General features: G+C 35.7%; 1 protein-coding gene across 5 annotated transcripts in view; it reads left to right on the forward strand.

Annotated features, from left to right (window-relative positions):
* Window positions 1-14583, forward strand: part of LRRC49 (leucine rich repeat containing 49) — a 200281-nt gene that overhangs the window by 120360 nt on the left and 65338 nt on the right. For all 5 annotated transcript variants that reach the window (NM_001284357.2, NM_001199017.3, NM_001363732.2 and 2 more), the window contains 2 exons: window positions 6364-6447; window positions 10357-10520. In NM_001284357.2, the coding sequence (NP_001271286.1) occupies window positions 6364-6447; window positions 10357-10520 (248 nt within the window). The remainder of the gene's footprint in view (window positions 1-6363; window positions 6448-10356; window positions 10521-14583) is intronic.

Consider the following 14583-nt stretch of genomic DNA (forward strand, 5'->3'; position numbering starts at 1 on the left):
TGGTTTTTTTAATGTCAAAAGTACAGAATATAAATTCCACAAATTGTGACAGTCAACTTGATGTTGATTCTGAAATAAATTTAAATTGCATTATTAAAAGATGGTTTGTGGCCCAGTGCGGTGGCTTACTCCTGTAATCCCAGTACTTTGGGAGGTTGAGGTGGGCGGATCACAAGGTCAGGAGATTGAGACCATCCTAGCCAACATGGTGAAACCCCATCTGTACTAAAAATACAAAAATTAGCTGGGCATGGTGGTGCGTGCCTGTAATCCCAGCTACTCGGGAGGCTGAGGCTGGAGAATCACTTGAACCAGGGAGTTGGAGGTTGCGGTGAGCCGAGATCGCGCCACTGCACTCCAGCCTGGCAACAGAAGGGGACTCTGTCTCAAAAAAATAAAATAATAAAATAAAATAAAAAGATGGTTTGTGAGTACTTAGGAATTGGTCACTAGGAGGCAGCATTAGCTCACTAAAAAACAATTCATGCCAGAAAAGAATTAGTTTCCTGACCTAGAAATTACAAATAGACCTTGTTAGAGGAGTGCTATAGACAGTGTTTTGGTATTTAAGCAAAGCATTTGGCAAAGTCTTTTATGGCATCATTTTGAGTAAATTGTATGACATGGTTATGTAGATTTTTGATTCAAGTATACTTACAGAACATGAAGTAATGGATTAATGCCAGCCTTTAGAGAAATCTGTACTGGCATGCCATGAGGCTTTTTTCCTCCAGTCCATTCTATTCACATTTTTATTAATGTCTAGGAGAAAATATTTGTTATTCTGGTAAAGTATGTGAATGACAGAAACTAGAGAAATTAGAGTTCTTGGTATATTGGTTGATCAAATGAGAATCCAAAAGTATCTCCATAGTCTAGAACAGGGTTTGGCAAACTACAGCCTATGGGCTAGATCCATCTGGCAGCCTGCTTTTTGTACAGCTCTCAAGCTAATAATGGCTTTTATGTTTTCAAAGCATTGTAAAAAAAAAAAAAAAGAACAACAAAGAAGGATATGAGATAGAGATCACATACAGCTCACAAAGCCTAAAATATTTACCATACTATCTGACCCTCTACAGAAAAAGTTTGTTTATGCCTAGTCTAGAAAAGTAAGCAGAATTTAACAACATAAAAAATAGATGAATTGAACATCCTGGACTTTATTCCATAACAACAATCAAGCAAAACAATTCTTAGCACAAATTCAGTATTATACAAGATTAGACTTAGCAGCGTGTGTTAAAGTGACTTGGAATTGCTAAATTCAAGTTCAATTAATTATGAGATGTGATTATTAAAAGTTAATATGGCTTAAAACAATATTCATTTATAGAAAAAGAGAATTCAGACAATGGAGACAGTCCCATCCCATTTTTTTCTACAGTGGTCAGATTACACCTGAACTATTACTAGTTTTAGAGGGCAGACAATAAACTAGAGCATTTCCAAAGAATCTGACATGATTAGTTGACAAAGGAGAAGACATAAGGAAGATATCCCAGTGATCTTCACCTGTTTTCACAACTATTCAAAAAAAGAGAGAACAGACACATGTTGAGGGGCTAGAACAAGGACCCTTATATAGAAAATTCTGGGAGGCAGAATTTTCCTTTTTATTTCTAAGGCAGCATTTTGTGAATGCAGGCAGTATTCTCACAATTCTGAAACAGGGTTGGGCGTGGTGGCTCATGCCTGTAATCCTAGCACTTTGGGAGGCCAAGGTGGGCAGATCACTTGAGTCAGGAGTTTGAGACCAGCTGGCCAACATGACAAAACCCTGTCTCTACAAAAAATACAAAAAATTTAGCCGAGTGTGGAGGCACACGCCTGTAGTACCAGAGACTTGGGGGACTGAGGCAGGAGGATCGCTTGAACCCAGGAGGTCAAAGCTGCAGTGAGCCAAGATCTCGCCACTGCACTCAAGCCTGGGGGACAGAATGAGATCCTGTCTCAAAACAAAACAACAACACAATTCAGAAACAAACAATGTCTAAAGTTTTCACCTCAAGCTCACATTTAATTGGCTTAGTGTGAACTTGTTTACAATTTGCTCTCCAAAAAAAAAAAGGAGCTCATCTCATGTGTACGTTTTCTGTTTTGGTAGACATTACTAATGTTCACCAATATGCTCTGGTTCTCCTCCTTTTTGACATGTGGGAAGATGTTTGGCCAATGAAATGTGAGCAGAAATAATGTATATCATTTCCAGGCAGAAGCATTTAAAAGCATGATTCTCATGCTTCCTTCCCATGTGGTAGTCACTGCGGAAGCCTATATAAAGTTGAGGATGCCATCAGATCATAGCACTCAGGAATACTTAGCCACTACATTGAAGACAGGTGCAGTGTTCTTTGCGTGATCAAGAAATAAACTTTTTTAAAGTCATAAGCCAGTGAAAGTTTTGAAGTTGTTACAGCAGCATAACCTATCCTGTTCTGACTATTTCCCTCCCCAGTATTTAACAGCTAATATCCCTGGACCAGAAGTCAGGTGACATGGCTTCTAATCTTCACTCTAACACTAGGTGTGACCCTGCAAAAAAATCAGTTTTGTTTGCTAAAAGTGATTGTTTGAGTAAAAATTATTGACCACCTCTTTGAGGGAAAAAACCCTGTGATTTTAAAGTCTGTTTTAATATTTTATATGTTCAAAGAAAATAATGTTTATAACTAAAGTATATGGTTAAAACACACCTTGCCATTTGATTTTTAAAATTTCATAAAATGCTGCCTATATTAGGACTACTATTATTTATTTTGGATCAGTCTTTTTCTTGTGTGATATGTGCATTGTTTTAGGCCTTAATATCTGCTAACAAAGTATAATCTAGGTTATCAAACACCTATTAAATCACTGCATGGCTTAATTGACTTGAAATTATTTCTATATTGGGTCTTCATGGCCAAAATGAAGTGAGGAAAAAGTAGTTTTTTGTCCCAGATCCCAGATTCCCCCCCCAACTTATTTATTTTTTTATTTTTATTTTTTGCTATGTAAAGGATATGGCTTTTGTCCCAGAAATTGGACTATTATCAAGAAGATACCAGAATTTTAGTTTTTCTTTCTTACCAACAGATTTATAACTTATCTTCACAATTAGAGGTTTTTTTTCTAAGTTTAGTTACTCTGTAATTATTTGGGCTGAAATATAGCTCTCAGATACATAAATTCCTTAAAATATTCAATATTTGAATTGATTTGGTGTAAATCCAGTTTTCCAAGGTTTAGCTTTCCTTTTAAGCCCTACTGCCTTTAATAGAAGCTCAAATTCTTTTCAAAAATCTGATGAAATCATCTCGTAAGTATGTGTAGTACGTGATCCATACAGTTTCCAGTACTGTTTGAAATTGGCTCTTTGAAAAAACAATCTGTTTCTAGTTCACATTTTATAGATGAGTCAACAATTGAACATCAATGTATTTTGCTCTTTTAAACACTTTATTCTGAAATAGATTGTACTCTGTAGGTACCAAGTCAGTATTTACTGAATAAAAGAATTTAACAGAATTATTAAACCAGATATTTTGTGAAGCTAGGATTCAAAGTTCTGCATTTTTAATTTAGTTTATTTCTCCTCATTACCTCTATTTAGTTTTTAAAAGTTAAGAATAATTATTTTCCAGCTGGGCATTGGTGGCTCACGCCTGTAATTGTAGCACTTTGGGAGGCTGAAGTGGGCAGATCACATGAGGCTAGGCGTTTGAGACCAGCCTGGCCAACATGGTAAAACCCTGTCTCTACTAAAAATACAAAAATTAGCCTGGCATGGTGGCACATGCCTGTAATCCCAGCTTCTTGGGAGGCTAAGACATGAGAATTGCTTGAACCCAGGAGGCGGAGGTTGCAGTGAGCTGACATTGCACCATGGCACTCCAAGCCTGGGCAACAAGCAAGACACAAGACTGTCTTAAAAAAATAATAATTATTATTATTTTCCATATTGTAAAAGACACTTTAAATTCACTAAAATTACATTACATTTCCATTTCCATTTCCTTTAAAACAACTAAATCATATGGCAGATCACTTCTGAGTTCTAAACTCTTCTTTATCTATCTAAAATCAGTAAAATTAATTTAAATACATCTTTATTATAAAAAAAATATGAATTTTGTTTCTAGCAGGCCATGGCTTCTGGTCCTGATCCTGGCCTTGTCACTAGCTATGTGACCTCATACAAGTTACTAATGTCTTGGAGCATTTGTTACCTTATTTCTAAAATTAGAGTTGTCTAGTATATGCTTTCTTAGTTTTCTTTTTAAACTCTGTGTTGGTTTCTGTTTGTGCATTTTTAAATATAATTATTTAATCTAGGTTTTTTCTTTGTTTTCAGGAGCATGTATAATGGCCCATCCTCTAGAACACATTTTCATAGTCTCTTTGACCTTCTTTAATTCTAATATAACATATATATACTGGTCAGCATAGGCTAGATTGTGCTGCAGTAACAGCTTCTCTAACTTCAGTGAATTAAAACAACAAAGTTTATTTCAGGCTTCTAATACCTGTCTGCCTATGATGTGTGATTTGGGATCTTTGCTCTATGTTGTCCTCATTCTAGTACTCAGGCTTTCAAAGTACCCACCTGTGGAGTTTTGCAGGTGCTGTAGCAAGGTGAGAGAGAGAATAGTTGTATCATACATTGTCTTTGAAAGTTTTCAACCAGAAGTAAATACATGTCACTTTTGTCCATATGACATTGGCCAAAGCAAGTCACATGGCCACATCTAACCTCAAGGGGGCTAGAAGTGCTATCTCACAATGTGTCTTGGATATGCAAAGACACAAGAATATTTGGTGAACAGCTTTTATGAATAACCATCAGGTTTTAAATCAAATGTTGAAATCTGGTAGGAGTATAAATTAGAACTGCATTTATGGAGGGCAGTTTGCAGACATATCAAAAGGATAGAAATATGTCTACCATTTGATACAGCAGTTTCGGTTTTAATAAATTACTGAACAGACATGGTTCATACATTCATAGAGCTTATTTTATGGCGTGGGAGGCAAGAGGGATAGCACCAGAAAAAATTAAAATGAAACAGGTTAAGTGCTATGATAGAGAAGTATGTAGGGTGATACTAAAACATATAGAAAACATTCTCATCCTCTATTTTCCAGTTGACTGATTCTCTCTTCAGCTGTGTATAATCTGCTATTAAATCTCCCTTTGTTGAATTTTAAATTTCAATTCTTATAATTTTTTGTTTCTAAAAGAGTTATTCTTCAAATCTGCTAAGTTACTTGTTATGGTTTCCTGTCTCTGAAGATGTTTTCAAGCTTGTCTTTTATGAATAAATTGTTTTCTCAAATTATCGTATTATTTTGAGTATCTACAAATCTTTTGGTAATGAAAATTAAAAGTTACGTGGTTATAATTTATTAAAATCTGACAGTCTTCGGGGGAAAAATTGTCCAGATTGTGTATATAGATTATAACCTTTAAAAAAATTGCTCATAGTGAATATTATAAACTGATACACAGAAATTGTAAGATTTGAGTTAGGTGTTTGGGATTATGACTGATTTTTAAGCATTTTTCTAAACTGTTTGTAAGGTTATTTTGTCATTTCTACTTTTTCCAGCTTTGTTGAGGTATGATTGATGAAACTATATAAAATTAAGGTGTACAGTGTGGTGATTTGATGTGTATGATAAAATGATTACCACAATCAAGTTAGTTAATATTTCTATCACTTCACCTGATTATCTTTTTTTTTTTGTAGTTAGAACATATAAGATCTATTCTCTTAGCAAATGCCAAGATTACAATACAAGATTATTAACTACGGTCATCATGCTATATTTCATAGCTTTTAGAATTTAAAAAATGAGACTGGGCAACACAATTTAAAAACAAACCAAAAGTAATTATATTAATGGGGAGTAATTTATTAATATAATTGGAGTTTTAAAAGATATTTACCCTGGTTTTTTCATCAAAAAGTTCTGATTTTCTATCACAGATCCAGTCAACATTGTTAGATGTATCACTTTTATCCTTCTTACCTTGATGATAGAAAGTTTAAACCTATGTGGAACCATGATGCACAGCGTACAAAAGGAAAATGATGCAAACATACTTCTCCTTTTCTTCTCATTCTTTTTTCTTTCTTGTATGAGCTAGGTTCACGTCACCTCCAGAGTTGGGAATAGAGTTAGGAATGCACAGATTTTTAGCATTAAGAGGAAAGAAGAAAATAAAGAGAAACATACTAAATTTTTCTTTGAGAGTATATTTTCTGCTAGTAAATACTATGCCTCTCAAGAAGAAAACTGTGCTTAATAGGACCAATGATATTTAGCATTAAAAAATGGTTAAACTCTTCATAATACTTTTCGGAAAATGTCTTTTAGGAAGAAGAAAGGCGTATGGCATCTGTTTTAGCCAAAAAAGAGGAAGAGAAGAAGCGGGAAAGTCATAAACAATCTTTGCTTAAGGTATTTTCTCTGATGTCTACATGGATGTGTGTGCACACGTAGACACACATACCCCAAAGCCAGCTAGCTAGTCTACTGGAAAAGTGGTTTCTAAACTTTGTAAGTTTTTTGTTCCTATCAACAGAATGTACGTACCCCTAAAACTTTTACAAGTTATTACCTATAAATAAACCTGTACTTAAGAAATAAAATATGATATACATTATAAAATAAATGCAAAGGCTAGTTTTAAAAGGAAGAGATGATAAATAAATATAATTGAAGTTATAACACTTTTATTTCATACCAGTGCATCATCTTGTGTATCCCATGGCCTATTCACTTCCTTTTGGAACGTACTGTAATTGACTGTCATCTTTACTGATATATTTTAATGAGCTCTGCTACGTTTTTTTTTTTTAATGATAGCTTTTTAAATTTAAAAAGTTTATGATATAGAAGTGATAAAGATTTTGTGGAACTTAGGAATGAAAATTTGTTTTAAACTGGTTTTAAATGATTTAGCAGATATTAATTTCCTTAAATAAAATATTCTCTTTTAAATATTTTATATTAACATTGCAAAGTATAAGTAAAGGCAGCTTTAAGTTTATAGTTCATAATATGCATCATGCTGTGTTCTAAAATTAAGGACATCACCCTGATTATCATTACTCATTCATGTTCTATATAGATGCTTTTCTTTTTAAAATTAAAGTGGCACTCAGAATTCAAAAAAATGACTAGCCAGGCAAGGTGGTATGTACCTGAAGTCTTAACTACTTGGGAGGCTAAGGTAGAGGATTGCTTGAGCCCAGGAATTAAGTCCAGCTTGGAAAATACAGTGAGACAAAACAAAATGTCACTAAATAGGACTCTTTAGTTACGAGGTTTACTTAGTATTTTTATTTTTAGTAAGAGGAAAAGCATGGGGAATCAGGAGACCCAGGTTCTAGCCCTAGCTCAGATTTGGAATCATGATACAACAGACCCTCAGCATTTGCTGAGGATTGCTCGTGCAACTCTACATATTGATCATTAAGAAAATGGGATGGACATTCTCAGCAAACTAACACAGGAACAGAAAACCAAACACTGCATGTTCTTACTCATGAGTGGGAGTTGAACAATGAGAACACATGGACACAGGGAGGGGAACATCACACACCGGGGCCTGTTGGAGGGTGGGGGGGCTAGGGGACGGATAGCATTAGGAGAAATACCTAATGTAGATGACGGGTTGATGGGTGCAGCAAACCACCATGGCACATGTATACCTATGTAACAAACCTGCACGTTCTGCATATGTATCCTAGAACTTAAAGTATAATTTAAAAAAAAAAAGAATGCTAAAAAATAAAAAAAAGAAAATGGAATGGATTGGTTACAGGAAGAGTGTATAGATACTGTCTTCTGCCTTGTTGCTTTTCTATTTTTTTTATTTTCCTTGTAACCTTAGAAGTGAAGGAAAGTGAAACTTATGGCATATACTGGTATGGTCTTGCCTGGACTATGAAAAGTAGACTCAAATGGCAGAAACTGGAATTTGGCACCTTCTAAAATATTTGTCACTTTAGCACAGACTTGGCCATTTATTGGCACCTAGCTATTAGAAACATAATTGTCGCTGATATCCCAAATGCTTCTGTGATCTTTACACTTTACTTTGGGTACCCCCTTATGCCTTGCAGAATCTCTAGCATTCTCTAACCTTTCTTTTGCTTCTTCTTTTTTTTTTTTTTTTTTTTCCTCCACAGATGCATAGAGCCCTTATGTGTCCTCCTGGCCAGCCATTAATCCCCACCTGACATTAAGACAGGCTATACTCCTGTCTTAAAATATGTCTTCCCTTTTCCGGGCCCCAGTAAAATTAATCATTCTCTTAGTCAACCTGGTAATGATCTGATTTTAATAACCCAAATTAAAGAAGCTTAACTTTTGCACTAATATAGGAAAACGTTTGCATTTTCAAAGATTATCTTATTATAAATTTAACATACTCAGTGGTCTAAAGATATTTTATGCCCTTTTTCTAAGCACTGCTTTATCTATGTCATTCTGAGTATTTCTTTCGCCTACCCCTGCCAGCCAGAAATCCAAAAGCATGAAGCCAACTGAGAACCATCAGCCATTAACTCACTGCCCTGGCCTCTTTCAAAGTGGCCTTGATACTGAGTAAAAAAAACAGAGTTGCTTAGATTACAAATTGGGTTGGCATAGTCATCAGCAAGTAACTTAAATAGAATTCCTTAAGGTAAGAAGCATTTTTATTATAGAATGGGGAAAAAATGTTTTTACAATAGGAATTGCAGATTTCTACTTGCTTTATATAAGGAGCACATACATAGAATGTCAGAAAGTCTCCAAAGTATATACATATTAAATATAACCCACTGAATTGTACACAAAATTTTGAAACACCAAACAACAGAAAAAAAGAAAGCCAGGCCCAAAACATTTTTTTTAGAGATGGGGTCTTGCTGTGTTGCCCAGGCTGGAATGCAGTTCACAGGTGTGACTGTAGCACACTACAGCTTTCAACTCCTGGGTTCAAGCAGTCCTCCTGCATTAGCCTCCCAAGTAGTTGAGATTTCAAGTGTGCACCACTGCACTCCCCCAGAAAACATGTTTAAAACAGAAATAGAACTTTTAAAACTTTAGTTTTAATTAAGCAAGCCATATCACTTTTTATTCCTATCTAATGCCATGCATACATGCTAAAATCTTAGATAACCAAAAATTATGCAAACATATGCAAAGAGGTACAACTAAAAAGAATTATTCTACATGTACTGAAGGAGTGGACAGAGAATCTTCCTACTAGCCTTCTGTGGCTTCAGGGCCAGCAGGTGAAGAGGGGTCAGTATCACACTCAGCTGATTTTTCAATGCAGGATTGTAGTCTTAGTAAAGAGGAAAAGGAAAGTGTCTGTTTTCAGCATTCTGATCTAATTGACAAGCTGTAATTAAATATTATCTTTTGATAATGGAAACTTTACCAGAATAGGGATTTTTTTTTCTATTAATATATATAAATTGAATAGAAACGTTTCAATTTAGCACAATTTCTTTCAGTAGTCTAGATCTGCTTTTTCACAAGAGGGTTTCTATGAGATGACTGAGCTCCAATGCTGGAAGTCAGTGGTTCTCAAAGTGAGGTTCATGAACTAGCAATATTAGAATACTTAGGAGAATTCAAATTCTCAAACCCTATGCCCAAAACTCTAAATCAGCAATCTGTTATAAGCTCCAGGTGATTTGAGGTACCCTGAAATTTGAGAACCACTACCTTAAGACATCCGTTGCTTATAATGAATTAATTTCTTTCCTACTCATCTGGAATGGTACTAGTTATCTAGAGACATTTCAACCTAGTACAATTTCTTTTAATAGTCTAGAGAATAATTTTTAAATTTCAGACAGTATAATTTATTCTGAGAAACTTGGAACATTGATCAACTCCTTCCCTTCCCCCCCTCCAAGATTATTTCACCTTACCAGTCTTAATTATTGAGTAGAAAAACTAAAATATCATTAGTTTTTTCTTACTGTGTTAGAGGCATATAAATTTCTGTTTAAAACTTCAGATAACATTAAGTATGTAAAAATTTATGTGAAATTAAAACTTCAGATTTTGAATTTTTAATCTCTAGTTGGTTGTATATTTATTTTTAATAAAATTAAGTTCCTAAAGAGCAATAATTGTTTGCATTTTTTTCCTTTAGAGTTAGATAATTATTGAGATTTTTGGATGCAGAGAGTAAATACAGGCCTCTTGAATCTTGTTTTAGAATGTATTGGGTATCTACTTAAAAGGAACAGGCTCCTTTTAAAAGTATTATAAGAAGGCACAAACAATATGCCCCTTAGATGTCACTTCTGCTACAAAAATTGCATTATATAACTTTTGTCACAATTAACTTTTTCATAGGAGAAGAAAAGGTTAACAATTAACAACGTAGCTCGACAGTGGGACTTGCAACAACAACGAGTAGCCAATATTGCTACAAATGAAGATAGAAAAGATTCTGACTCTCCTCAGGACCCCTGTCAGATTGATGGAAGCACCCTCTCTGCATTCCCAGAGGAAACAGGGTATGCAATGGTATTTTTTCAAGATACAAGCATCTTTGATAATTGAATTTGGAGTGGGAATTAGAAACCATTTTACATATAATTATTTTAAAAGGGTTTTCTTAAGAAAACTTGCTGAAATTAGAAATTAAGATGGAAAAGTTGAAAATATAAATCTTACTATAACATTCTCCAAATTAAAACATGCTTCATAGGGCATTTCATATTTTTTATAGGGAAAAGTCTAGATTTCTTAATATAGTCTATGATGTCTTTTGCCCACTTCATCTCTTTTATCTCATGCCATCAACCATGTTCTTCTGCTATTGCAGCATCACTGTCTGTCTTTCAGTTCAGTTACTTCCTACTTCAGAACATTTCTTTTTTATTATTATTACTATTATTATTATACTTTAAGTTTTAGGGTACATGTGCACAATGTGCAGGTTAGTTACATATGTATACATGTGCCATGCTGGTGTGCTGCACCAATTAACTCGTCATTTAGCATTAGGTATATCTCCTAAAGCTATCCCTCCCCCCTCCCCCCACCCCACAACAGTCCCCAGAGTGTGATGTTCCCCTTCCTGTGTCCATGTGTTCTCATTGTTCAGTTCCCACCTATGAGTGAGAATACGCGGTGTTTGGTTTTCTGTTCTTGCGATAGTTTACTGAGAATGATGATTTCCAATTTCATCCATGTCCCTACAAAGGACATGAACTCATCATTTTTTATGGCTGCATAGTATTCCATGGTGTATATGTGCCACATTTTCTTAATCCAGTCTATCATTGTTGGACATTTGGGTTGGTTCCAAGTCTTTGCTATTGTGAATAGTGCCGCAATAAACATACGTGTGCATGTGTCTTTATAGCAGCATGATTTATAGTCCTTTGGGTGTATACCCAGTAATGGGATGGCTGGGTCAAATGGTATTTCTAGTTCTAGATCCCTGAGGAATCGCCACACTGACTTCCACAATGGTTGAACTAGTTTACCGTCCCACCAACAGTGTAAAAGTGTTCCTATTTCTCCACATCCTCTCCAGCACCTGTTGTTTCCTGACTTTTTAATGATTGCCATTCTAACTGGTGTGAGATGGTATCTCATTGTGGTTTTGATTTGCATTTCTCTGATGGCCAGTGATGATGAGCATTTTTTCATGTGTTTTTTTGGCTGCATAAATGTCCTCTTCAGAAGTGTCTGTTCATGTCCTTCGCCCACTTTTTGATGGGGTTGTTTGTTTTTTTCTTGTAAATGTGTTTGAGTTCATTGTCGATTCTGGATATTAGCCCTTTGTCACATGAGTAGGTTGGGAAAATTTTCTCCCATTTTGTAAGTTGCCTGTTCACTCTGATGGTAGTTTCTTTTGCTGTGCAGAAGCTCTTGAGTTCAATTAGATCCCATTTGTCAATTTTGGCTTTTGTTGCCATTGCTTTTGGTGTTTTAGACATAAAGTCCTTGCCCATGCCTATGTCCTGAATGGTAATGCCTAGGTTTTCTTCTAGGGTTTTTATGGTTTTAGGTCTAACATTTAAGTCTTTAATCCATCTTGAATTAATTTTTGTATAAGGTGTAAGGAAGGGATCCAGTTTCAGCTTTCTACATATGGCTAGCCAGTTTTCCCAGCACCATTTATTAAATAGGGAATCCTTTCCCCATTGCTTGTTTTTCTCAGGTTTGTCAAAGATCAGATAGTTGTAGATATGCGGCGTTATTTCTGAGGGCTCTGTTCTGTTCCATTGATCTATATCTCTGTTTTGGTACCAGTATCATGCTGTTTTGGTTATTGTAGCCTTCCTTGTAGTATAGTTTGAAGTCAGGTAGCGTGATGCCTCCAGCTTTGTTCTTTTGGCTTAGGATTGACTTGGCGATGTGGGCTCTTTTTTGGTTCCATATGAACTTTAAAGTAGTTTTTTCCAATTCTGTGAAGAAAGTCATTGGTAGCTTGATGGGGATGGCATTGAATCTATAAATTACCTTGAGCAGTATGGCCATTTTCATGATATTGATTCTTCCTACCCATGAGCATGGAATGTTCTTCTATTTGTTTGTATCCTCTTTTATTTCATTGAGCAGTGGTTTGTAGTTCTCCTTGAAGAGGTCCTTCACATCCCTTGTAAGTTGGATTCCTAGGTATTTTATTCTCTTTGAAGCAATTGTGAATGGGAGTTCACTCATGATTTGGCTCTCTGTTTGTCTGTTATTGGTGTATAAGAATGCTTGTGATTTTTGCACATTGATTTTGTATCCTGAGACATTGCTGAAGTTGCTTATCAGCTTAAGGAGATTTTGGGCTGAGACATTGGGGTTTTCTAGATATACAATCATGTCATCTACAAACAGGGACAATTTGACTTCCTCTTTTCCTAATTGAATACCCTTTATTTCCTTCTCCTGCCTAATTGCCCTGGCCAGAACTTCCAACACTGTGTTGAATAGGAGTGGTGAGAGAGGGCATCCCTGTCTTGTGCCAGTTTTCAAAGGGAATGCTTCCAGTTTTTGCCCATTCAGTCTGATATTGGCTGTGGGATTGTCATAGATAGCTCTTATTATTTTGAGATACGTCTCATCAATACCTAATTTATTGAGAGTTTTTAGCATGAAGGGCTGTTGAATTTTGTCAAAGGCCTTTTCTGCATCTATTGAGATAATCATGTGGTTTTTGTCTTTGGTTCTGTTTATATGCTGGATTACATTTATTGATTTGCGTATATTGAGCCATCCTTGCATCCCAGGGATGAAGCCCACTTGATCATGGTGGATAAGCTTTTTGATGTGCTGCTGGATTCGGTTTGCCAGTATTTTATTGAGGATTTTTGCATCAATGTTCATCAAGGATATTGGTCTAAAATTCTCTTTTTTGGTTGTGTCTCTACCCGGCTTTGGTATCAGGATGATGCTGACCTCATAAAATGAGTTAGGGAGGATTCCCTCTTTTTCTATTGATTGGAATAGTTTCAGAAGGAATGGTACCATTTCTTCCTTGTACCTCTGGTAGAATTCGGCTGTGAATCCATCTGGTCCTGGACTCTTTTTGGTTGGTAAGCTATTGATTATTGCCACAATTTCAGCTCCTGTTATTGGTCTATTCAGAGAGTCAACTTCTTCCTGGTTTAATCTTGGGAGGGTGTATGTGTCGAGGAATTTATCCATTTCTTCTAGATTTTCTAGTTTATTTGCATAGAGGTGTTTGTAGTATTCTCTGATGGCAATTTGTATTTCTGTGGGATCGGTGGTGATATCCCCTTTATCATTTTTTATTGCGTCTATTTGATTCTTCTCTCTTTTCTTCTTTATTAGTCTTGCTAGCGGTCTATCAATTTTGTTGATCCTTTCAAAAAACCAGCTCCTGGATTCATTAATTTTTTGAAGGGTTTTTTGTGTCTCTATTTCCTTCAGTTCTGCTCTGATTTTAGTTATTTCTTGCCTTCTACTAGCTTTTGAATGTGTTTTCTCTTGCTTTTCTAGTTCTTTTAATTGTGATGTTAGGGTGTCAATTTTGGATCTTTCCTGCTTTCTCTTGTGGGCATTTAGTGCTATAAGTTTCCCTCTACACACTGCTTTGAATGTGTCCCAGCGATTCTGGTATGTTGTGTCTTTGTTCTCGTTGGTTTCAAAGAACATCTTTATTTCTGCCTTCATTTTGTTATGTACCTAGTAGTCAATCAGGAGCAGGTTGTTCAGTTTCCATGTAGTTGAGCGGTTTTGAGTGAGTTTCTTCATCCTGAGTTCTAGTTTGATTGCACTGTGGTCTGAGAGATAGTTTGTTATAATTTCTGATCTTTTACATTTGCTGAGGAGAGCTTTACTTCCAACTATGTGGTCAATTTTGGAATAGGTGTGGTGTGGTGCTGAAAAAAATGTATATTCTGTTGATTTGGGGTGGAGAGTTCTGTAGATGTCTATTAGGTCTGCTTGGTGCAGAGCTGAGTTCAATTCCTGGGTATCCTTGTTAACTTTCTGTCTCATTGATCTGTCTAATGTTGACAGTGGGGTGTTAAAGTCTCCCATTATTATTGTGTGGGAGTCTAAGTCTCTTTGTAGGTCACTCAGGACTTGCTTTATGAATCTGGGTGCTCC

Source organism: Homo sapiens, chromosome 15, assembly GCF_000001405.40.
Source record: "Homo sapiens chromosome 15, GRCh38.p14 Primary Assembly".
NCBI lineage: Eukaryota > Metazoa > Chordata > Mammalia > Primates > Hominidae > Homo > Homo sapiens.